This window comes from Homo sapiens, chromosome 14, assembly GCF_000001405.40.
Source record: "Homo sapiens chromosome 14, GRCh38.p14 Primary Assembly".
NCBI lineage: Eukaryota > Metazoa > Chordata > Mammalia > Primates > Hominidae > Homo > Homo sapiens.
In genome coordinates this window covers 60869565-60893920 of record NC_000014.9, presented here as the reverse complement: position 1 = coordinate 60893920, position 24356 = coordinate 60869565, and the positions used below count along the sequence as shown (strand labels likewise).

General features: G+C 34.6%; 1 protein-coding gene across 6 annotated transcripts in view; it reads right to left on the bottom strand.

Annotated features, from left to right (window-relative positions):
- The window catches only part of MNAT1 (MNAT1 component of CDK activating kinase), a 235205-nt gene that overhangs the window by 76045 nt on the left and 134804 nt on the right, over positions 1-24356 (bottom strand). For all 6 annotated transcript variants that reach the window (NM_002431.4, NM_001177963.2, XM_005267688.4 and 3 more), the window contains one exon: positions 14086-14207. In NM_002431.4, coding sequence (NP_002422.1) covers positions 14086-14207 — 122 coding nt within the window. The remainder of the gene's footprint in view (positions 1-14085; positions 14208-24356) is intronic.

Sequence of the window (24356 nt, the reverse complement as noted above, 5' to 3'; positions counted from 1 at the left end):
CAGGCACACAGGTCCTCCTATGACTAACGTTGGAAAAGGAGAAGCAAGAAAAACCTTCTTCCCACCATAAGACTTATTCTAAGTAAAAAGCAAGGGCAATCTACTATAGGGGAGCAACACCAAGAGAGAAGCCCTCTGTGGCTCAGGCTTACAGAGCCTGTTGAAAACTAGAGGGTAGAACAAGAAAACCTAGAAAACTCCTTCCAGCACTCCAGGCCTCACACTAAAAGCAAGGTGGCAATAAATTGTGACTAGATGAATTTGAAGCCTGTGGTACATTGATAGGAACTGGAGCAACAAAAAACCAAAACCAAGATCAAAATACAGAATACTCAGCTCTTGACACTAATGGCCTAGCAGAAAAAGGCATGTAAATATTTCTGTGCATAAATATTATTTATCTCAGAATCTACTATTCTGTCATACAGAATGTCCAATATTCAAATAATAACTAAAACAAACAGGAAAACAAATGTATCATGAGGACACAAAACAGTCAACAGAATCAAACCCAAAGATAAGAGGAGGAGTTAAGAAAATACTATGATTAATAACTTAAAGGATCTAATGGAAAAGGTGGATAATATGTATGAACAGGTAGGGAATTTAAGAAGTGAAAATCATTTTTAAAAAGTGAATGAAAATACTAGATATAAAAATTGCAATATTAAAAAGAATTCCTTTGATGGCCTTATCAGCAGAATGGGCAAAATAGAAGAATAAGTGAACTTGAAGATGGGACAAGAGAAATTATCCTAACTTTTAAAACAAACTTTTTTAAAAAATTAAAAAGCACAAAATAGAGCATACAAGAGGTGTAAGTAAAAAAGATAATCAAAAGGTATAACATTGTAAGATTTAAGAGACTAATATCTTTTTTAAAAAAATTAGTCTAAAAGCCAGTATTATTACTAAGTTTTATAACTCACATTTTGTTTTCTACATAATTTAAGAAACTAACACATTTAAAAAAATAATTTATTAATAATCTTGGACACACAATATATAAAGATGTAATTCTGTGGTGCTGTCAACTAAAAGGGGTGAGGACAGAACTGTTTAAAAGCAGAGTTTCTGCATGTTACTGAAGTTAAGCTTGTATAAATTCAGAGTGCTACAACTTAGGATAATAAATGTAATCATCATAATGACAAAAGAATAGCTCAAGAATATACACAATAGAGGATAAGCAAAGAATTTCAATGTGGCACTAAAAAATAAACACAAAGAAAACAGTTATATAGGAAATAAGGGAGAAAAAGCTATAAGGCACATGTAAAACAAATAAAAAATGATGGAAGACCATCCTTATCAGTAATAACTTTAAATGTGGCTTAATTAAACCCTCCAATCAAAAGATAGAAATTGGTAGAATACATAAAAAATAAATAAAACCATGATCCAACTATATGTTATCTACAAGAAACTAACTTTGGATTCAAAATCACAAATAGGTTAAAAGTAAAAGAATGAAAAAGGCTATTCCATGCGAATAGTAACAAAAACAGAACAGAGGTAAATACTAATATGAGGCAAAACAGATTTTCAACTTTAAGTGTTCATAAGACAAAAGAACATAACATATTAGTTAAAATATTTACTTACCTAATAACAGACCATCAAAACATATGAACCAAAGGGAGAGTTTTACAATAATAGTTAAAGCCTTCAATACTCCCCTCTCAATAATAGATAGAAAAACTAGACAAAAGATAAATAAAACAGAGGACTTGAACAATAGAATAAACCAACTGGACTGAAAAAACATATATGGAACACTATACTCAACTACAAGAAAATACACTACACATTCCTCTAAAGTGCACATGGAACATTTTCCAGGACAGGCCATATTTTAGGCCATAATTTAAGTGTTAATAAATTTTTAAAAAATTGGTATCATACAAAGTATCTTCCCCAATCATAACAGGATGAGGTTAGCAACCAATAATGGAAGAAAAACTAGAAAATTCACAAATTTGTAGAAATCGTACAATACACTATTAAATAACCAATGTTTCAAAAAAAATCGCAAGGAAAATTAGAAAATAGTTGGAAATGAATAAAAACAAGAACAAGCCATACCAAAACGTATGGGACACAGCAAAAGAGTACTAAGAGGAAAATTTATAGCTATGAGTGCTAACATTAAAAAACAAGAAAAATCTGACCAAGCACAGTGTCTCACACCTGTAATCCCAGCACTTTGGGAGGCCAAGGTGGGCAGATCACTTGAAGTCAGGAGTTCGAGACCAGCCTGGCCAACGTGGTAAAACCCGGTCTCTACTAAAACTACAAAAAATTAGCCAGGAATGGTGGTGCACGCTTGTAAATTCCAGCTACTCAGGAGGCTGAAGCAGGAGAAGCACTTGAATATGGGAGGCGGAGGTTGCAGTTAGCTGAATCATGCCACTGCACTCTGGCGTGGGCAACAGAGCAGCAAGACTTTGTCTCAAAAAAAAAACAAACAAAACAAGAAAAGTCTTAAATCAACAATCTAACATTACACTTAAGGAACTAGAAAGAGAAGAACAAACTAAACCTAAAACTAGCAGAAAAAAGAAAATAATGAAGATTAAAGCAGAAATAAACAAAATAGAGAATAGAAAAAAGAGAAAAATAAATAAATTGAGGTGATTCTGTCAAAAAGATCAACAAAATTACCAGATCTTTAGCTAAACAGACTAAGAAAAAACGAGAGAAGACTTAAATTAGTAAAATCAGAAATGCTAAATAGACTAAGGAAAAAGGAGAGAAGACTTAAATTACTAAAATCAGAAATGAAAGTGGAGCCATTATTACCAATTCTAAAGAAATTAAAAGGATTATAGGATTATATGAGAGAACTATGAGCAAACTGGGTAACCTAGATGAAACATTTAAAGAAGAACTATCACCAATCCTTCTCAAATGTTTCTAAAAAAGTGAAGAGGAAGAAACACTCCCTAACTCATTCTATACTCTGTGTGATGGTTAATAGTGAATGTCAACTTGATTGGATGGAAGGATGCAAAGTATTGTTCCTGGGTGTGTCTGTGAGGGTGTTGCCAAAGGAGACTAACAAGAGTCAGTGAGCCGGGAGAGGCAGACGCATTCTCAATCTGGGTGGGCACCACCTAATCAGCTGCCAGTGTGGCTAGAATAAAGCAGGCAAAAGAAGGTGGAAAGAGCAGACTTGCTGAGTCTTCCAGACTTCATCTTTCTCCCATGCTGGATGCTTTCTGTCCTCAAACATTGGACTCCAAGTTCTTCGGCTTGTGGACTCTTGGACTTAAACCAGTGGTTTGCCAGGGGCACTCAAGCCTTCGGCCACAGACTGAAGGCTGCTCTGTCGGCTTCCCTACTTTTGAGATTTTGGGACTCGGACTGGCTTCCTCCCTTGCTCCTTAGCTTGCAGATGGTGTATAGTGGGGCTTCACCTTGTGATCGTGTGAGTCAATACTCCGTAATAAACTCCCCTTCATATATACATCTATCTATTAGTTCTGTCCCTCTAGAGAACCCTGACTATACATTCTGATATAAAAGCCAGACAGAGACTACAAGAAAACTAAAAGCCAGTATCTCAGATGAAGAGATGCAATCAACAACATACCAAGAAGATTTTACATCATGAGTACGTAAATTTATGCCTGGGATGCAAGGTTGGTTTAACAAATGCAAATCATGGTGTATATGTGCCACATTTTCTTAATCCGCTCTATCATTGTTGGACATTTGGCTTGGTTCCAAGTCTTTGCTATTGTGAATAGTGCCGCAATAAACATATGTGTGCATGTGTCTTTATAGCAGCATGATTTATAGTCCTTTGGGTATATACCCAGTAATGGGATGGCTGGGTCAAATGGTATTTCTACTTCTAGATCCCTGAGGAATCACCACACTGACTTCCACAATGGTTGAACTGGTTTACAGTCCCACCAACAGTGTAAAAGTGTTCCTATTTCTCCACATCCTCTCCAGCACCTGTTGTTTCCTGACTTTTTAATGATTGCCATTCTAATTGGTGTGAAATGGTATCTCATTGTGGTTTTGATTTGCATTTCTCTGATGACCAGTGATGGTGAGCATTTTTTCATGTGTTTTTTGGCTGCATAAACGTCTTCTTTTGAGAAGTGTCTGTTCATATCCTTTGCCCACTTTTTGATGGGGTTGTTTGTTTTTTCTTGCAAATTTGTTTGAGTTCATTGTAGATTCTGGATATTAGCTCTTTGCCAGATGAGTAGGTTGTGAAAATTTTCTCCCATTTTGTAGGTTGCCTGTTCACTCTGATGGTAGTTTCTTTTGCTGTGAAGAAGCTCTTTAGTTTAATTAGATCCCATTTGTCAATTTTGGCTTTTGTTGCCATTTTTTTTGGTGTTTTAGACATGAAGTCCTTGCCCATGCCTATGTCCTCAATGGTATTGCCTAGGTTTTCTTCTAGGGTTTTTATGGTTTTAGATCTAACGTTTAAGTCTTTAATCCATCTTGAATTAATTTTTGTATAAGGTGTAAGGAAGGGATCCAGTTTCAGCTTTCTACATATGGCTAGCCAGTTTTCCCAGCACCATTTATTAAATAGGGAATCCTTTCCCCATTGCTTGTTTTTCTCAGGTTTGTCAAAGATCAGATAGTTGTAGATAATGCAGCATTATTTCTGAGGGCTCTGTTCTGTTCCATTGATCTATATCTCTGTTTTGGTACCAGTGCCATGCCGTTTTGGTTACTGTAGCCTTGTAGTATAGTTTGAAGTCAGGTAGTGTGATGCCTCCAGCTTTGTTCTTTTGGCTTACAATTGACTCAGCGATGCGGGCTCTTTTTTGGTTCCATATGAACTTTAAAGTAAGTTTTTTCCAATTCTGTGAAGAAAGTCATTGGTAGCTTGATGGGGATGGCATTGAATCTATAAATTACCTTGGGCAGTATGGCCATTTTCACAATATTGATTCTTCCTACCCATGAGCATGGAATGTTCTTCCATTTGTTTGTATCCTCTTTTATTTCATTGAGCAGTGGTTTGTAGTTCTCCTTGAAGAGGTCCTTCACATCCCTTCTAAGTTGGATTCCTAGGTATTTTATTCTCTTTGAAGCAATTGTGAATGGGAGTTCACTCATGATTTGGCTCTCTGTTTGTCTGTTGTTGGTGTATAAGAATGCTTGTGATTTTTGTACCTTGATTTTGTATCCTGAGACTTTGCTGAAGTTGCTTATCAGCTTAAGGAGATTTTGGGCTGAGACGATGGGGTTTTCTAGATATACAATCATGTCATCTGCAAACAGGGACAATTTGACTTCCTCTTTTCCTAATTGAATGCCCTTTATTTCCTTCTCCTGCCTGATTGCCCTGGCCAGAACTTCCAACACTATGTTGAATAGGAGTGGTGAGAGAGGGCATCCCTGTCTTGTGCCAGTTTTCAAAGGGAATGCTTCCATTTTTTGTCCATTCTGTATGATATTGGCTATGGGTTTGTCATAGATAGCTCTTATTATTTTGAGATATGTCCCATCAATACCTAATTTATTGAGAGTTTCTAGCATGAAGCGTTGTTGAATTTTGTCAAAGGCTTTTCTGCATCTATTGAGATAATCATGTGGTTTTTGTCTTTGGTTCTGTTAATATGCTGGATTATGATTATTGATTTGTGTATGTTGAACCAGCCTTGCATCCCAGGGATGAAGCCCACTTGATCATGGTGGATAAGCTTTTTGATGTGCTGCTGGATTCGGTTTGCCAATATTTTATTGAGGATTTTTGCATCAATGTTCATCAAGGATATTGGTCTAAAATTCTCTTTTTTGGTTGTGTCTCTGCCCAGCTTTGGTATCAGGATGATGCTGGCCTCATACAATGAGTTAGGGAGGATTCCCTCTTTTTCTATTGATTGGAATAGTTTCAGAAGGAATGGTACCAGTTCCTCCTTGTACCTCTGGTAGAATTCAGCTGTGAATCCATCTGGTCCTGGACTCTTTTTGGTTGGTAAGCTATTGATTATTGCCACAATTTCAGAGCCTGTTATTGGTCTATTCAGAGATTCAACTTCTTCCTGGTTTAGTCTTGGGAGGGTGTGTGTGTCGAGGAATTTATCCATTTCTTCTAGATTTTCTAGTTTATTTGCATAGAGGTGTTTGTAGTATTCTCTGATGGTAGTTTGTATTTCTGTGGGATTGGTGGTGATATCCCCTTTATCATTTTTTATTGCATCTATTTGATTCTTCTCTCTTTTGTTCTTTATTAGTCTTGCTAGCGGTCTATCAATTTTGTGGATCCTTTCAAAAAACCAGCTCCTGGATACATTAATTTTTTGAAGGGTTTTTTGTGTCTCTATTTCCTGCAGTTCTGCTACACCATGGAATACTATGCAGCCATGAAAAATGATGAGTTCATGTCCTTTGTAGGGACATGGATGAAACTGGAAATCATCATTCTCAGTAAACTATCGCAAGGACAAAAACCAAACACCACATGTTCTCACTCACAGGTGGGAACAATGAGAACACATGGACACAGGAAGGGGAACATCACACTCTGGGGACTGTTGTGGGGTGGGGGGAGGGGGGAGGGATAGCATTAGGAGATATACCTAATGCTCAATGACGAGTTAATGGGTACAGCACACCAGCATGGCACATGTATGCATATGTAACTAACCTGCACATTGTGCACATGTACCCTAAAACTTAAAGCATAATAATAAAATAAAATAAAAACAAAAAACAAACAAAAACAAGAAAAAAAAACAGCTCTGATATGTAACAACAACAACAAAAAAAATGCAAATCAATGTTATACAACTCATCAATAGAATGAAAAATAAAAACCACATGATCATCTCAATATATATGCAGGGAAAGCATTTGACAAAGTTCAAAATCTTTTCATAACAACTGTCAACAAAATAAGTTTAGAATAAAATGTCCTGAACAAAATTGAGGTCATTTATGAAAGGCCTATGCCTAACATTATAATCAACAGAGGAAAAGTTTTCAGTTTTTGCCTGACCCCAAGACAAGGACGTCCACTTTCATCAATTACATTCAACATAGAATTGGAAGTATTATAAAGAGCAATTAGACAAGAAAAATAAAATACATCCAAATAGGAAATCAAGAAGTAAAATTATGCCTCTCTGCATATGACATGATCCTATATGTACAAAATCATAAAGATTAGACCAAAAAGTTAGAATTAGAAAATGAATTCAATAAAGTAGCAAGATAGAAAACAGACATGCAAAAATCAGCTATATTTCTTTATACTAATAGTGAAGTATCTGAAAAAAAAATCAAAACATTACATTAGCTTTTTTGTAATCAAAACAGACATGCAAAAATCAGCTATATTTCTTTATACTAATATTGATATATCTGAAAAAAATCAAAACATTACATTAGCCTTTAATGTAATGTAATCAAAACATTACATTAGCCTTTTTCAAAGGCTAATCAAAAGATTAATCAAAAAGATTAAGATACTTAAGAACAAATTTAACAAAGGAGGTCAAAGCTGTACACACTGAAAAATATGAAACACTGAAGACAACATAAATAAACGGCAACAAATCCCATGTCCGTAAGAATAGAGGAATATTGTTAAAATGTCCATACTACCAAAAGCAGTATACAGATTCAACAAAATCCCTATCAACATTCTCATGGCATTTTCAATACAAACAGAAAAAAATTATAAAGTTCACATGAAACCACAAAATACCCACAAAAAACAAAACAGCCTTGAAAAGGAAGAACAAAGTTGGAAACACCAAATTTGCTGATATCAGATAATATTACAAAGCTATAGTATGGTATTGACACAAAAACAAACATATACACATTGGAACAGAATAGGGAGCCCAGAAATAAACCCAAACATCTGCAGTCAACTAATTTTTGATAAGGGCATGAAAACATACAATGGAAAAAGGCTAATATTTTTAGTCAATGGCACTGAGAGAACTATACACATACAAGTGAATGAAACTGGCCCTTATCATACACCATATTAAAAAACATCAACTCAAAATGGACTAAAGACTTAAAAATAAAACCTGAAACCATAAAATTCTTAAGAGAAAACATAGTGAGAAAGATCCTTGATGTTAACTTTGGCAATGGTTTTCTGGATAAGACACCAAATACGCAACAAAACTGAAAATAAACAAATAGAGCTACATCAAACTAAAAAGCTCTAGACAACAAAGGAAATAAACAACAAAATGAAAAACCAACCTACACATTGGGAAAATATATTTGCAAACTATACAAACTATACATCCAATAAAGGGTTAATACCCAAATTATATAAAGAACTTGAATAGCTCAAAGGCAAACAAAACCAAATAACTCAACTTAAAAATGGGCAAAGGACCTGAATAGTCATTTCCCCAAAGATAACATATGAATGGCCAAAAGGTGTATGAAAAGCTGCTCAACATCACTAATCATCAAGAAAATACAAACAAAAACCAGAGTCTCTTAATAGCAGAATTGATTAAGCAGAAGAGTGAACTTGAATATAAGCTATTTGAAAATACAGTCAAAGAAAACAAAACAAAATTAACAATAAAAAACAATGAAGCATGCCTAAAAGATCTAGAAAATAGCCTCAAAAGTGCAAATCTAAGAGTTATGGGGCCTAAATAGGAGACAGAGAGAGAGATGAGGGTAGAACGTTTATTCATAAGGAGAATAACAGAACATTTCCCAAATCTAGAGAAATATATCAATATTCAACTATTCAAGTACAAGAAGGTTACAGAACACCAAGCAGATTCAACTCAAAAAAGAATACCTCAAAGCATTTAACACTCAAACTCCCAAAGGTCAAGGATAAAGAATTCTACAAGCAGAAAGACAAAATATACAAATAACATAGAATGGAGGTCCAATATGTCTGGCAGCGAACTCTTCAGTGGAAACCTTATAGGCCAGAAGAGACTGGCATGAAGGAAAAAGCTTTTGCCCTAGAATAGTATATCCGGTGAAAATGTTCTGCAAACATGAAGGAGAAACAAATAAAGACTTTCCCGGACAAACAAAAGCTGAAGGTTTTTATCAACACCAGACCTGTCTTACAAGAAATGCTAAAGGGGGTTCTTCAATTAGAAAGAAAAGAACATTAATGAGCAATATGAAGTCACCTGAAGGTACAAAATTCACTGGTAATGGTAAGTACACAGAAAAACACAGAATATTCCCACACTGTAATCATGGTAGATAAACTACTCTTAAGTAGGAAAACTAAAAGATAAATCAATTAAACATAATAACTACAACTTTTCAAGACGTAGTACAATAAGATATAAATAGAACAACAAAAAGTTAAAAAGCAAGGGGACAAAGTTAAAGTGTAGAGTTTTTACTAGTTTTGATTTTGCTTATTTGTTTGTTTGTTTGTTTATGCTATCAACCTTAAGTTGTCATCAGCTTAAAATAATGGGTTATAAGATAGTGTTTGCAAGCCTCAACAAAATACTAGCAAGCTGAATTCAACAACATGTTAAAAAGATCATTCACTCATCATGACCACATGTGATTTATCCCAGGAATACAAGGATGGTTCAACATATGCAAATCAATCAATATGATATATCATATCAACAGAGTGAGGACCAAACCATATGATCACTTCAACTGATGCTGAGTAAGCATTTAATAAAATTCAACATTCTTTCATGGTAAAAACCCTCAAAAACCTGGGTATAAAAGGAATTTACCTCAACATAATGAAAGCCATATATAACAGACCTGCAGCTAGTATACTGAATGGGGGAAAACTGAAAGTCTTTCTTCTAAGATCTGGAATACAGCAAGAATGCCCACTATCACCACTGCTATTCAACACAGAACTGGCAGTCCTAGCTAGAGCAATCAGACAGGAGAAAGAAATAAAGGACATCCAAAGCAGAAAGGAGTAAGTCAAATTATTTTTGTTTACAGATGATATGATCTTATATTTGGAAAAACCTAAAGACTTCACAAAAAAACTATTAGAACTGATAAACAAATTGAGTAAAGTTGCAGAATACAAAATCAGCACACAAAAATCAGCAGCATTTCTATATGCCAAGAGTGAACAATCTAAAAAAGAAATCAAGAAAGTAATCCCATTTACAATAGCTAGAATAAAATACCTAGGAATTAACCAAATAAGTGAAAGATCTCTACTATGAAAACTATAAAATACTGACGCAAAAAATTGAAGAGGACACACACACACAAAAGATATTCCATGTTCATGGATTGGAAGAATCAATAATGTTAAAATGGCCATAGTACCCAAAGCAATCTACAGATTAAATGCAATCTCTATCAAAATACCAATGACATTCTTCACAGAAATTAAAAAATTCCTAAAATTTATATGGAATCACAAAAGACCCAGAATAGCCAAAGCTATCTTTAAAGAAACTTTAAAGATATAAAACTTCAGGAATTATATTACCTGACTTCAAATACTACAGAGCTATAGTAACTAAAATAGCATGGTACTGGCATAAAAATGGACACAGAGACCAATGGAACAAAATAGAGAATCTCAAAACAAATCCATGCATCTACAGTGAACTCATTTTTGACAAAAGTGCCAAGACCATACATTTGGGAAAAGAAAATCTCTTCAAAATATGGTACTGGGAAAACTGGATATCCATATGCATAAGAATGAAACTAGACCCCTAACTCTCACCACATACAAAAATCAAATCAGGATGAAACACTTAAATCTAAGACCTCAAACTATTTAACCTACTAAAATTAAACATTGGGGAAACGCTCCAGGATATTGGAGTGGGCAAAGATTTTTGAGGAACACCCCCACAAGCACAGGCAACTAAAGCAAAAATAGGTAAGTAGGACCACATCAAGTTAAAAAGCTTCTGCAAAGCGAAGAAATCGATGAACAAAGAGACAACCTATAGAATGGGAGAAAATATTTTCAAACTACCCATCTGACAAGGCATTATTAACCAGAATATGTAAGGAACTCAAACAACTCAACAGGAAAAAATGTAATAATCCAACTTAAAAATGGGCAAAAGATTTGAACATACATTTCTCAAAGGAAGATATACAAATGGCAAACAGTCATATGTAAAAATGCTCAACATCACCAGTAATCATCAGAGAAATGCAAATCAAAACTACAATGAGATAGAATCTCATCCCAGTTTAAATGGCTTTTATCCAAAGACAAGCAGTAACGAGTACTGGAGAGGATGTGGAAAAAAGAAAATCTTGTACACTGTTGGTGGATATGTAAATTAGTACAACCAGTATGGAGAACAGTTTCGAGGTTTGTCAAAAAACAAAAATAGAGCTACTATATGATCCAGCAATCCCACTGCTGGGTATATACCCAAAAGAAAGGGAATTAGTATTTCAAAATGACATCTGCACTCCCATGTTTGTTACAGGACTGTTCACAATAGCCAAGATTTGGAAGCAATCTACATGTCCATCAACAGATGACTGAATAAAGAAAATGTGGTACATATACACAGTGGAGTATTATTCAGCCATAAAAAAGGTATGCGATCCTGTCATTTGAAACAACATACATGGAACTGGTGGTCATTATGTTAAGTGAAATAAGCCAGGCACAGAAAGACAAACTTAGCATGTTCCCACTTATTTGTGGAAGCTAAAAATTGAACTGATAGGGAGTAGAAGGAAGGTCACCAGAGGTTGTGAAGGGTAGTGAGGAGGTGGGAGAGGATGTGGGGATGGTTAATGGGTAGAAAAAAAAATAGTTAGAATGAATAGGAACCAGTTTTTGGTTTTGTTTTGTTTGTTTTTGTTTTTGTCACCCAGGCTAGAGTGCAGTGGCACAATCTTGGCTCACTGCAACCTCTGCCTCCCAGGTTCAAGTGATTCTCCTGCCTCAGCCTCCCAAGTAGCTGTGATTAAAGGTGCATACCACCATACCCAGCTATTATTTTGTATTTTTAGTAGAGTCGGGGTTTCATCATGTTGGCCAGGCTTGCCTCAAACTCCTGACCTCAAGTGATCTGCCCACCTCAGCCTCCCAAAGAGCTGGGATTACAGGCATGAGCCACTGCGCCTGGCCAAGAACTAGTATTTGATAGAACAACAGGGTGACTATAGTCAATCATAATTTAATTGTACATTCGAAAATAACTAAAATAATATAATTGGATTCTTTGTAACACAAAGAATAAATGTTGAGGTAATGGATATACCATCTACCTTAATGTGATTATTACACATTACATGCTTGTATCAAAATATCTCCCATAGCCCACTGTATATATACCTACTATGTGCCCACAAAAATTAATACTTAAAAAAATCTTCTCTATCTTAAATATATATAATTTTTCTTTTTTAATTATATCTTAATAAAGCTAGAAAACACTATGAGCCAATATCCTTTATGAACACTAATGCAAGAATCCCTGACAAAACACCAGCAAACTGAATTCAGTATATTAAAAGATGGGCCGGGCGCAGTGGTTCACACTTGTAATCCCAGCACTTTTGGGGGGCCAAGGTGGGCAGATCACTTGAGGCCAGGAGTTCGAGACCAGCCTGGCCAACATGGTGAAACCCTGTCTCTACAAAAAATACAATAATTAGCCAGGCATGGTGGTGCATGCCTGCAGCCTCAGCTACTCGGGAGGCTGAGGCATGAGAATCACTTGAACCCAGGAGGCAGAGGTTGCAGTGAGCCAAGATTGCACCACTGCACTCCAGCCTGGGTGACAAAGTGAGACTCTGTCTCAAGAAAAAAATAATAATAATTCAACATTCTAGGAACAGAAGAAAGCTACCCGGACATAAGAAAATCTGTATATGAAAAATTTTGACAAAATTATTGGAAAATGCAAAACCTAGTAACAGAGGAGTACTATTTTAAACACGTGAACTTCACGGACATTAAAAGTAAAGATTTTGAAGTAAATTTATTTTAAAGATACACGATTCTGGCTCTTTGTAAGAGATAAGAAATAAATGTCTACATCATGTATAACTTTTTACATTATAAAACGCAATATTGTCTATCTCTTCAAACTTCAATTTTAGCATTTAAGACAATTGTTTAATAAATCTGTTATCTCAAAGGGGGTTTTAGGTTGTTTTACATCCTGTTGGCTTCATGCTTGCAGGCTGTAGGACTTTAAGAGAATAAAGAACTGAATAAAATTTAGCCTTAAGATATTAAATATCATTTAAATGTAACTTTACCTTGGAGCCTTGATGTTCACATGTAAAATATTATGCAACATGTTCCAGATTTTGGTTTTGTTTTTGAAGATGCATGTAGGTTTTATTATTTGTTTCATCTTTCTTGTTTTTGTTCTTGGGGTCTCTGACTTTTTCTATTGCTTTTTAGTTTCTTGGACTCGATTTACCCACTTTTTTTTCACAGTATATTCTTTCCACTATTTTCTTTTGTTAAGCAACAACAGTTTCTGGATCAGCCTTTCATTCAATAGTTCACATTTTAAAATCAGACCAAGAAATGATTTGCTCCATCTAGCAACATCTGTGCCTGCGCTTTTCAAGTATACAAATACCCACTTGCTCCCATGAGAGAGACTATAACCATCTCTCCATCCCTCACAAAAGCCAGGATCCCAGGTTCATTTCCAGAATGGATATATATAATATGACTGTTGAACCACAGGGCCAGCCTTACATTATACCTTTCAACAAAATATATTTCATGGCTCATGGCTCATAAATGTAGTTTCACTGTAGACAGTGCACAATGAGTAAATCTACCCTTTTTCATGGCAAGGAGCCCAATTCATATTTTTATTGGCTTACTACTAACTAAATTAAGCCCCAATTTCTTTAAAAAAGAAAAAAACACTCATGACTGAAAATAAACGCCATTTCAATATGGCTGCCAAGGACAGACTTCTAAAAGAACGAATGTATTCCAGGCTCAATCTCAAGAGACCTAACAAGTCCACAGAAAAATTAATGTACTAAATAAAACAATTTGGTATTGAGTACTGTTCATTTTTCACAAAACAGTAAAGTTCTATAAACTGAAAATCTAAGAATGTTAACATGTCAGTTAAGAACAGCAATAAGTCCCACATATCAGCTCCTCAATGTAAAGTTCTTTAGGACACATACCCAAGTCTTCCTAGCATCTCAAGCTCAGGAACATGTGGTCCATATGTCTCTATCTGCAGTGGCTGGTATTCATACAGAGCTTCTTCAAGCTTGTGAATAGGTGCCAGTGAAATATGTTGACCCTGTTAGAAAAATGAAGGAACTTAATACCTCTTATTATTATTTTCATATTGCTACTTATTTATAATCATTTTAAAGATGAATTAAATTCCTCACATTAGAAGTATTAGCCATTAGTTGTGCTGTTCCATGGGTACAATGCATTGCAGCATAACCAAAACCCACATAATAGAATTAATAGTCATTTACACATGATTTAAAAGAGGAAAACCAAATCCATCATTAAATTCAGATTTAGCGTTAAACAGTATAGTTGTTCAATGTCCATGGTAGAAGTCATCAAATACAAGAGACTTCAAAAAGTTTATGAAAAATACATATTATTTAAAAACTATGCATGGATTTTAAAAACATTTGCACCAAAACAAACTTGTATTAACTTGTTATAACATGTCTGAACAGCACCTAGTTGGAAGCACAAAGAAGCATAAGACCATTTGAAAAAAGCTCCTATCAGAGCAATGTGAATTCTACTAAATTGAAAAAAGAACAAACATCTATGGTGAAGACTGGATGGAAGAATGGCAAAATCATTACAAAAAGTTTATGGGGACAATGCCCCAAAGAAATCAGCAGTTTACAAATGGATAACTCATTTTGAGAAGGAGCAAGAAAATGTTGAAGATGAAGCCCTCAGTGGCAGACCATCTGCATCAATTTGTGAGGAAAAAAAAAAAAACTTGTTCATGCCCTAATTGAAAAGGACTGATGATTAACAGCAGAAACAATAGGCAACACCATAGACATCTCAGCTGGTTCAGCTTACACAATTCTGACTGAAAAATTAAAGTTGGGCAAACTTTCCACTCAATGGGTGCCAAAACTGTTGCACCCAGATCAGCTGCAGACAAGAGCAGTGCATTCAGTGGAAATTTTAAGCAACTGTGATCAAGATCCTGAAGCCTTTCTTCAAAGAACAGGAGATGAAACATGCCTTTACCAGTACTGAAGACAAAAACAATCAAAGCAATGTCTACTAAGAGGTGGAAGTAGTCCAGTCAAAGCAAAAGTGGACTGGTTACAAGTAAAGGTCATAGCAACAATTCAAAAAATTCACAATTCAAAATACTCATGGCATTTTGCTTATTGAGTTTCTGGAGGGCCAAAATACAATACCATCTGCTTATTATTATGAGAAAGTTAGCTAAAGCTTTAGCAGAAAAATACCTAGGAAAGCTTCACCAGAGTCCTTTCCCCACCACAACAATGCTCCTGCTCATTTCCTCTCAACAAACAAGGGCAATTTTGCAAGAGTTTCCATGGGAAATCATTAGGTATCCACCTTACAGTCCTGACTTGGCTCCTTCTTACTTCTTTTTGTTTCCTAACCTCAAAAAATTTGTAAAAGGAACCCATTTTTCTTCAGTAATAATAATAAAAAAAGATTTCGCTGACATAGTTAAATTCCTAGGACCCTCAGTTATTTAGGGATGAACTAAATGCCTGGTATCATTGCTTACAAAAGTGTCTTGTTCCTGATGGAGCTTATATTGAGAACTAAAGTTTATATTTTTTATATTTATCTTTTAATTCCATTTTCCACAAACTTTTTAAAGTTCCCTTGTGTACAAGCATAGTCTATCCTCACATTTTTCTATTTTTACTAAACAACTTTGACATTTTCGGTAATCAGTGTTTTTGTTTTTGTTTTTTTTGAAAGCTCAAATTAGGGAAGAAAGCTAATAAAATTATTCTCTGCAAAGTTGTGCCACATAAATATCTATTCTCTGAAGTCTTTACATGATATCAAACTAACTTACCAAATGTGTATTTATTTCACATCACACACACATATACAAATAAAATAAGAAAATTTTATGCTGAAAACTAAATTGGATGAAAACATCCACTCTATTTTTCTGAGAAGAAAGAACTACTGGATAACTAAAATACAAAGACCCTACAGATCATATTTGAGCAAAATAAAGTGCCACTCAGGTATATATCATTACATTGAGATTTACATATCTATCATCCACGTGGGCATAGAATTCTAATTTATAAAAATACCTACATTTTATATAGTCTGTGTTTGCTGATTTTAACCCTAGTTCTCTTGTTTTTCTTGGTATAGTTCTATCAATTTCTCTATTTCATAACTTTTTATAAACCATTCTTGCAGTTATTAATTCCTCCAATTTCTAGTTTATAAATTTTTTTGTTGCTACATCCCTTAGTTTCCTTTTTCCCCTAAATTACTAAGTTGGATGCACAGTACACATTATCTATTTTATTATTTTAAAAAAGGTAAAAGTCATGACTTAAAAGTCATAAAATACAATTGTAGCAGTGAGAAACAACCATCGAAGATCCTTGCATCTGGATTACAGTTTCTCTCTTCAACAAGTTCAATAGTATGTAGCATCATCCTAGCTAGTTTACAGGCACGTTGTAATAGGCACCTCTGACACTGTAATGTCAAAAGTACTTCACCAAAAACAGGCGAAGGATTTGAACAGAGATTTCACCACATAAGATATACATATTGCCAATAGGTATATGAAAAGATGCTCAATATCACTAGTCATTAGGGCAATGCAAGTCAAAGCACAGTGAGATACCACTTCACACCCATGGCTATTTAAGATGGCTATTATTAAAAAGAAAAACAGAAAATGCTAAATGTTTGTGAAGATATAGAGAAACTGAACTCTTGTGCATTGCTAGTGGGAATGTAAAACGGTATAGCTGCTGTGGAAAACGGTATGGCACGTCCTCAAAAAATTAAAAACAGAATTACCACATGATCCAACAATTGGATGGATTCTGGGTATATACCCGAAAGTGAAAGCAGGGTCTCAAAGAAATATTTGTACACCAATGCATATTTACAGCAGCATTATTTTCAGTAGCAAAAATGTGGAAGCAACGCAGTGTCCATCAAGGAATAAATGAATAAACAATATGTGGTGTGTATATACACATAAATACAATAGAGTATTATTCAGTCTTTGAAAGGAAGGAAATTTTGACATATGACAACATGGATGGACCTGAAGATATTATGATAAATGAAATAAGCCAGGCATAAAAGGACAAAAAGTATATGACTCCACTAATAGAAGGTTCCAAAGTAGTCAAATTCATGGAGACAGAAAGTAGATCAGTGGTTACCATAGACTAGGAACATGGGAAAGAGCAGTTAGTGTTTCATGGGTACAGGTTGAGTTGAGGAAGATGAGAAATTTTTGGAAATGAACGGTGGTGATAGATGCAGAACAATTTGGATGTACTTAATGTCACAGAAATGTACAGTTAAAAGGGATTACATGAACTTTTATGTTACATGTATTTTACCACAATTTTTTTAAATGAGTTTTGGATATTCTAATTTCCTCATTTGCTTTGCTAGAATTAAAATACACAGGAAAAAGAGAAAAAAAGTGTAATGTCAGAAATTTCATTCATAGTATTTTAACCCCTAACCTCCATGTTCCACAGCCTTTCTAAATAAACATGAAACTGTTAAGCTAAATCTTATACTATCATAGAATAATCCAATTTCAGACCAATGATTCAGAGAGCATTGCATAGGTTAAGAAGACAGTGCCTGAGTGGGATATTTTGAGACTTGTTCTGACATCCCTATTTCAAAGTGTCTTCTTCATAAATTGTCAGACACTAAATTCTCCTGCCATTTGATAAAAAATGTCCAGCATTGGTGTCACATGTTTTAGCTATGGGGGTAAAAGGGAGGGGAGAGGAGTAAAAGAGAGGAGGGTAAGTGAGGGAAAGGAAAAATACTGTGACAATTAAAGAAGTACATTTACAGTCTCACCAACACTCCGTGTGCATTTCAGAAATTAGACAGCAAGGTCCAGAAAGGCTCACACAGAATGGGTATTTTCAAGAGCTGGATTACCTTCCAAGGAAGATAATACTTAAGGAAGACAAGCTTTCTTAAGTAATTGCACTGGAAAACAACATACTAAAACTAATCATTACCTAAACATTAGCAACAATACCCAAATTACTAAAGTTATGATGTCTTATAATTCAAAGTCTTCTCTGAAGTTTGTGGGGACATCATTTACAATAGCCAAAAAGGTCACTGAATAAGAATAGTTAACATTATTTATTCTGTGCTAGGCACTATGCTAAAGGGTTTTGTATGTATATCTCAGCATCCACAATAATTTCATGAAACGTTACTATTTAATAAAGTACGATTAAGTACTATTAATGGTACTTAATCATACTTTATGAATGAGGAAATGGGGGTTAGATATTGTGACTGAGCAAGATCATACTGTAGTTAATGGCAGTTTGATGATTAAAAGCCAAGTCTGTCAGATTGTAAAGCCTGTGCTTTTTTCCCCTAACACCTTCATTTTGTGGATATGGAAGCTATTATCCTCAAAATGTAAATTTTTCTAAGGTCACATAGAGTTAGATCTCTCAATTACTGCCCAGTGTGGGTTCCACACACTGCCTTTTAATATCCTATTTTTAAATAATATAATCATGGTTGTTCAATTTAAAAGTTTTAATGGCCGTAAGTAAATCCTAGGTGGTTTAAACCAATTTTTTATATAAATTCTAGTAGCTCAGGTACATAAAATACCATAGGCTCAAAAAGGAGTATTTTTTAAAACTATAACATTTAGAGAGAAATAAACATTACTCAGTGGTAGTTCTGTTTGCCATAAGTACGATAAGACAAAGTTCATAAATGACACACAAACTGCCCTTCCAACATTCCATCTATCTTTCCCTCGGAAAAAACTCATGAGATAGATGCCATGGTTCTCAAGCCTAAAGCTGGGGCAGAACTTAGAGAACAATGACTTACACTCATTGATATGTTTTTTAAATTTTTAAAATCACCAACAGAGCAGATAATGGCTTAACAGGTCACATGAGAAAGTATTAAGGGTTTTAAGTGACTGGGAGGAAAAGGGTGTTTAAAAGTTTTTTAGATGAAAAGTGCTTATTGGTGATATTTCCACCCAAACAGTAAGGGTGATAGATATTATTCTAAATTATCAGAAAAAGGAGGATTCAAATTAAAGAACTCAAAGTGCATGATATACTAATTATAAGTTATATTTGAATTAAATTTGGTTGGGTGCCAAATGGTATGGTATAGACTTAAGTGCTATAGAGTATTGAGAGGAAGAATCAATAAAAGATGGAAGAATGAAAAAGACAGAACAGAAAAAAAGATAGAATATCAAGGGGGAGAAAAAGATAGAATAGGAAGAAAAAGAATATTGAGAGGAAGAATATTGAGAGGAAGAATCAATAAAAGATGGAAGAATGAAACAGTGCAACTTGTGCCAGACCTCAGAGGACAAAGTCTACAAAAGCAAGGCAATGGGGAGGACAGCGATATTACCAGAGCAGTATGTTGTGTCCTGAGACAATAAGTAAACCTGAGCAGAGACAGGAATATGGAGAAAGAAGGGTGGGCAGAGAATGAATCAGTATAGATAGCTTAAATTACAGCTAGAAAATACTCCAAGGCTAATTTGAACTCAAATGGGTAAGAAATCAGAACTGTCAAAACAATGTCAGAATGTTTTATCTCCAGCATATTACTAAATAAATGATAAATAAATAATGTTTAATATGAAAAGAGAGCGTGAATACACTGCTGGTAAGAGAGCAAATTATGGAATTGCTTTCTGGATGAAAAGCAATTTAGTAAACCTTTAAAATCTTCACATATTTTGACCTAGTAATACCATCTGTAATAATTTATAAGAAAGCAATGAGAAATATAATCAAATTCTTATTCATGTCTGTTCATCACAGTTTATATTGTCAAAAACTAAAAGGAAACTAAATGTTCAATCAATAAGTAAACATCAGTTTAAGTAAACATCAGTTCAATTATAACATAAAACAGTGTGCAGCCATTTAAAATCATGTTTAAAGAGAAATTAGTAAAATGTTAAGTACATGATCATTATGCTCTAAACTATTTTTAAAATCTGCCTAAGAGCCAGGCACAGTGGCTTATGCCTGTAGTCTTAACATTTTGAAAGATCAAGGTGGGATGATAGTTTGAGCCCAGGTGCTTGAGACCAGCCTGGGCAACATAGTGAGCCATCTCTACAAAAAAAAAAAAAAAAAAATTAGCCAGGCATGGTGGTGTTCACCTGTAGTCCCAGCTCCTCAGGAGGCTGAAGCAGGAGGATCACTTGAGCCCAGGAGATCAAGGCTGCAGTGAGCTGTGATTGTGCCACTGTACTCCAGCATGAGTGTCAGAGCAAGATCTTGTCTCAAATAAAACATAATAAAATAAAGTAAATCTGCAACTGCAAAAGAAAACTAAAGAAAAACTATCCCTAGGTGATGAAATTATTTATCTTTGTTGCACTATTTTCTGAATTGTCCAAAATGGGTATAAAATGGGTATGTTTTATATTTATGGCTATAAAAAAACTACTATTGAACAATGCCACAGAGAAAAAATCAGAAAAAAACATACTGCAAGACAAGTGGCCTGGTTTCTTCAGTAGGTCAATGTCACGAGAAACAACAACAATAAAGATGACAAAGTATAAAGTGGATGGGAGCTATTCAAGATTAAGACAGAATTAAGATGTTTAATAAACATAGTGAGAGTCACTGGCTCAGTACTAATTTGGAAGGGAAAAAACAGCCATGAAACATTTTGGCAACAATTGGGGAAATCTGAATATAGACTGGGTATTAAGCTATATTAGAGAATTTCTGTTAATTGTTCGGTGTGATTATGGCATTATGGTTATGTATGAGAATGTCCTATGCAGGAAAAGGTCAGTGAGAGATGCCAGATGAAGAATTTAAAAGTAAAATTTCATGGAAATTGTAATTTACTTTAGAACGGTTCAGGGGAAAAAAAGTGCATATATATATGTGTGTGTGTGTGTGTGTGTGTGTGTGTGTGTGTATGTGTGTGTGATGTAATACCAAAATATTACAGATTATTGAATCTAGGTATTAGGCATGTGAGTATTCATTGTCTTATTTTCCAACTTTGCTATTTTTGAAATTTTTCATTATAAAATGTTTAAAATAGATCATGGAATATTTGTTAGTTTTGAAAAAAAAAATGGCTATGTATTTACAGCAAAGAAAAATATAATAGCACCAAAGAAAGAAGAGCCTAGAATCAAGTAGGTCAAGTCGGTAGCTATTTTAGTGATTAAGGTTAAAGTAATATGGTCTAGATCTGAGTAATAATGGGGGGGAAGAGAAAAAAGAATAATAATTATAATTAAAACTGCAAGAATCGGTAGCAATCTGCTATAGCTGAGGTGGGAAGCAAAATGTGAAAACCAGAGAGAGCTGATTAACAGAGGCAGGAAAACTAGGAAAGGGAAAGGTGGAAGAGTAATGTAGGATGGATGCATGTCCCTTCCAAATTTCATGTTGAAATGTAATCCTCATGTTGAAGGTGAGGCCTAGTGGGAGGTGTTTGGGTCATGGGACTGGAGCCTTCATGAATGGCTTTGTGTCCTTCCTTAGCAATAAGCAAATTCTCTATTAGTTCACGTGAGAGCTGGTTTTTAAGAGGTACTTCCTTCTCTCTTGCTCCCTCTCTTGCCACGTGTGCCTGCTCCCCCTGTGCCATCCACCATGAGTAAAAGCTTCCTCATACAGCCTGCAGAACCATGAGCCAAATAAACATCTTTCCTTAATGAATTATCCAGTCTCAGGTATTCCTTCATAGCAATGCAAAACATACTAATAAAAAGAGAAAATTTTAAAAAGACAAAATGCAGACCAGAAGAAAATACTTGCAAGCCACATATTTTATAATTCGATCAAATTCAGAATACTACCTATAAAGAATTCTTAGAGACTGGGTGCAGTGGCTCAAGCCTGTAATCCCAGCACTTTGGGAGGCCGAGGCGGGTGGATCACCTGAGGTCAGGAGTTCAAGACCAGCCTGGCCGACATGGTGAAACCCCATCTCTACTAAAAATAAAAAAATTAGCTGGGCGTGGTAGCCGGCGCCTGTAATCCCAGCTACTCGGGAGGCTGAGGCAGGAGAATTGCTTGAACCTGGGAGACAGAGGTTACAATGAGCCGAGATCGCACCATTGCACTCCATCCTGGGCAACAAGAGTGAAACTCTGTGTCAAAAAAAAAAAAATCCTAGAATTGACTAATAAAAAGACAAAATGACCCAATTAAAAGTGGCAAAAGATTTTAAAAGACCAGATGGCTAATAAGAACATGAAAAGATGCTCAACATCAATAATATTCAGAAAAATGCACACTAAATGCACACTCACTTGAATGACAACAACCAAACTGACAGACAATAAAAAGTGTTAGTGCAGAGGTGAAGAAACTGGAACCCATGGACACTGCAGATGAGAGTATACAATGATGCAGCCACTTTGAAAATTAGTTCAGTAGTTTTTCTTAAAGTGACAAGTAAATTTACTTTATGACTTAGTTAATTCCACTTATAAGTATCTACCCAGGAGAAATGAAAACATATGACCACACAAAGACTTGTACATGAATGTTCATAGCAGCTATTAATAGCAGCCAAATAGTGGAAACAATCTAAATGTCCACCAATTGTGAATGGATAAATAAAATGGGGTGGTACATTCATATAGTATGAATATGAATTCCTTTATTAAACATTCACACAATATGCTGAATTTTATTACTATTCAACAATAAAAATGAATGAAATATTGGTACATGCTACAACATGGATGAACATCAAAAACGTTATGCTACAAGAAGCCAGATGTGAAGGACCAATATATTACATGATTCCACTTCTAGGAAATGTCCAGAAAGGGCAAAATTACAGAGACAGAAAGTAGATTAACAATTGCTGTGGGCTAGAAGTGTGAATGTGTTGTGTCTGCAAATGAGTATCAGAGACCTCTTTGGAGTGATGAAAACATCCTAAAATTGGATTACTGAAATGGTTACAAAATTCTGTAAATTTACTAACAATCAATACATTGTATATTTTAAATAAGTAATTCTTATGGTAAGTAAATTATATCTTGATAAAGCTATTAAAAATAAAGAGTTTAAGATGGTGGTTTAAATCAATCCACCATTGCTGCCTATAAAATATCCAAGTAGAAATGTTCAGTAAAGGCAGCTAGAAATATAAAATAAACTCAAAAGAAATTTTGCTATCAGCATCAAAATGACAGGCAAGGTCACAAGAATAAGAAATGGGTGTGGGGGAATATATAAAGAGTGAGGTCTTAGCACTGAGTCTTGAAAAATACCATTAAGTAATTCAGGTACATTTTCCTGACTTTGAAAAGTACGGCACAAAACTAAAGCCCTTTCTGTTTTTGTTACTGTTGTCATATAATTGATAAAGAAATAAGGCTTTAAAAGTAAAAATGTAGTGAGAAGAACCACAGAAAACCATGCAACTTTAGGTAATACCCATACCTGGGGGGAAACGCATGCAAACTGTACATTCAGTAGTATATATAATTAGTGTTTTTATTCCTCTACAATGTAACAAAATGGAACCTGTTTCTTTTCTAAAATATAGCTTAGAGCCCTATATTTCCATCATTTGCTAGTCAAAAAATATAAGCTTATGAGAAAAAAGGTTTTCTAAAATTCAGCTCATTTCCATATAGAGCAACATAGGAACATTGGAAGAACAATGCAAATGCTGACACGGGTAGTTATACATGGCAGTATTTTTAATAATCTGTATTTTTAATAATCTGAAATGTATTATTTAACTTTTCTTAGAAAGTTTAAAAGCTACTACAAAAAATTGTTTATAATTTACTAAGATTTGTCTGTTAATCTATACACTACAAATATTATCATTATGCTTTCTCACCAAATAAAGAGCAGAGTATCTTTTGTGTTAACTCTAAACACATACTATGTTAAAATAGAAACACACATTTAGAATGCAACAAACCATTTAGAATAACACTATTAAAGAAAATACATTATTATTTAATGAAAATGGCAATAAAAATAATCAATTAGTATATAGATTGTTGAGATAAACAATAATAAAAATACTAAACATGAAAATCCAGTTCTATACCAATCAGTATATGGTTTTCTGTTAAGTACCATAGAAGAGGTTGTAATTACAAAGTGCTGACAATTTAGGCCGATAGGTTAAATGATTCTGCAAATCCTTTAACACAATTTTAAATTCAGAACTCTTTTAATTGATCTATCTTGCTTAA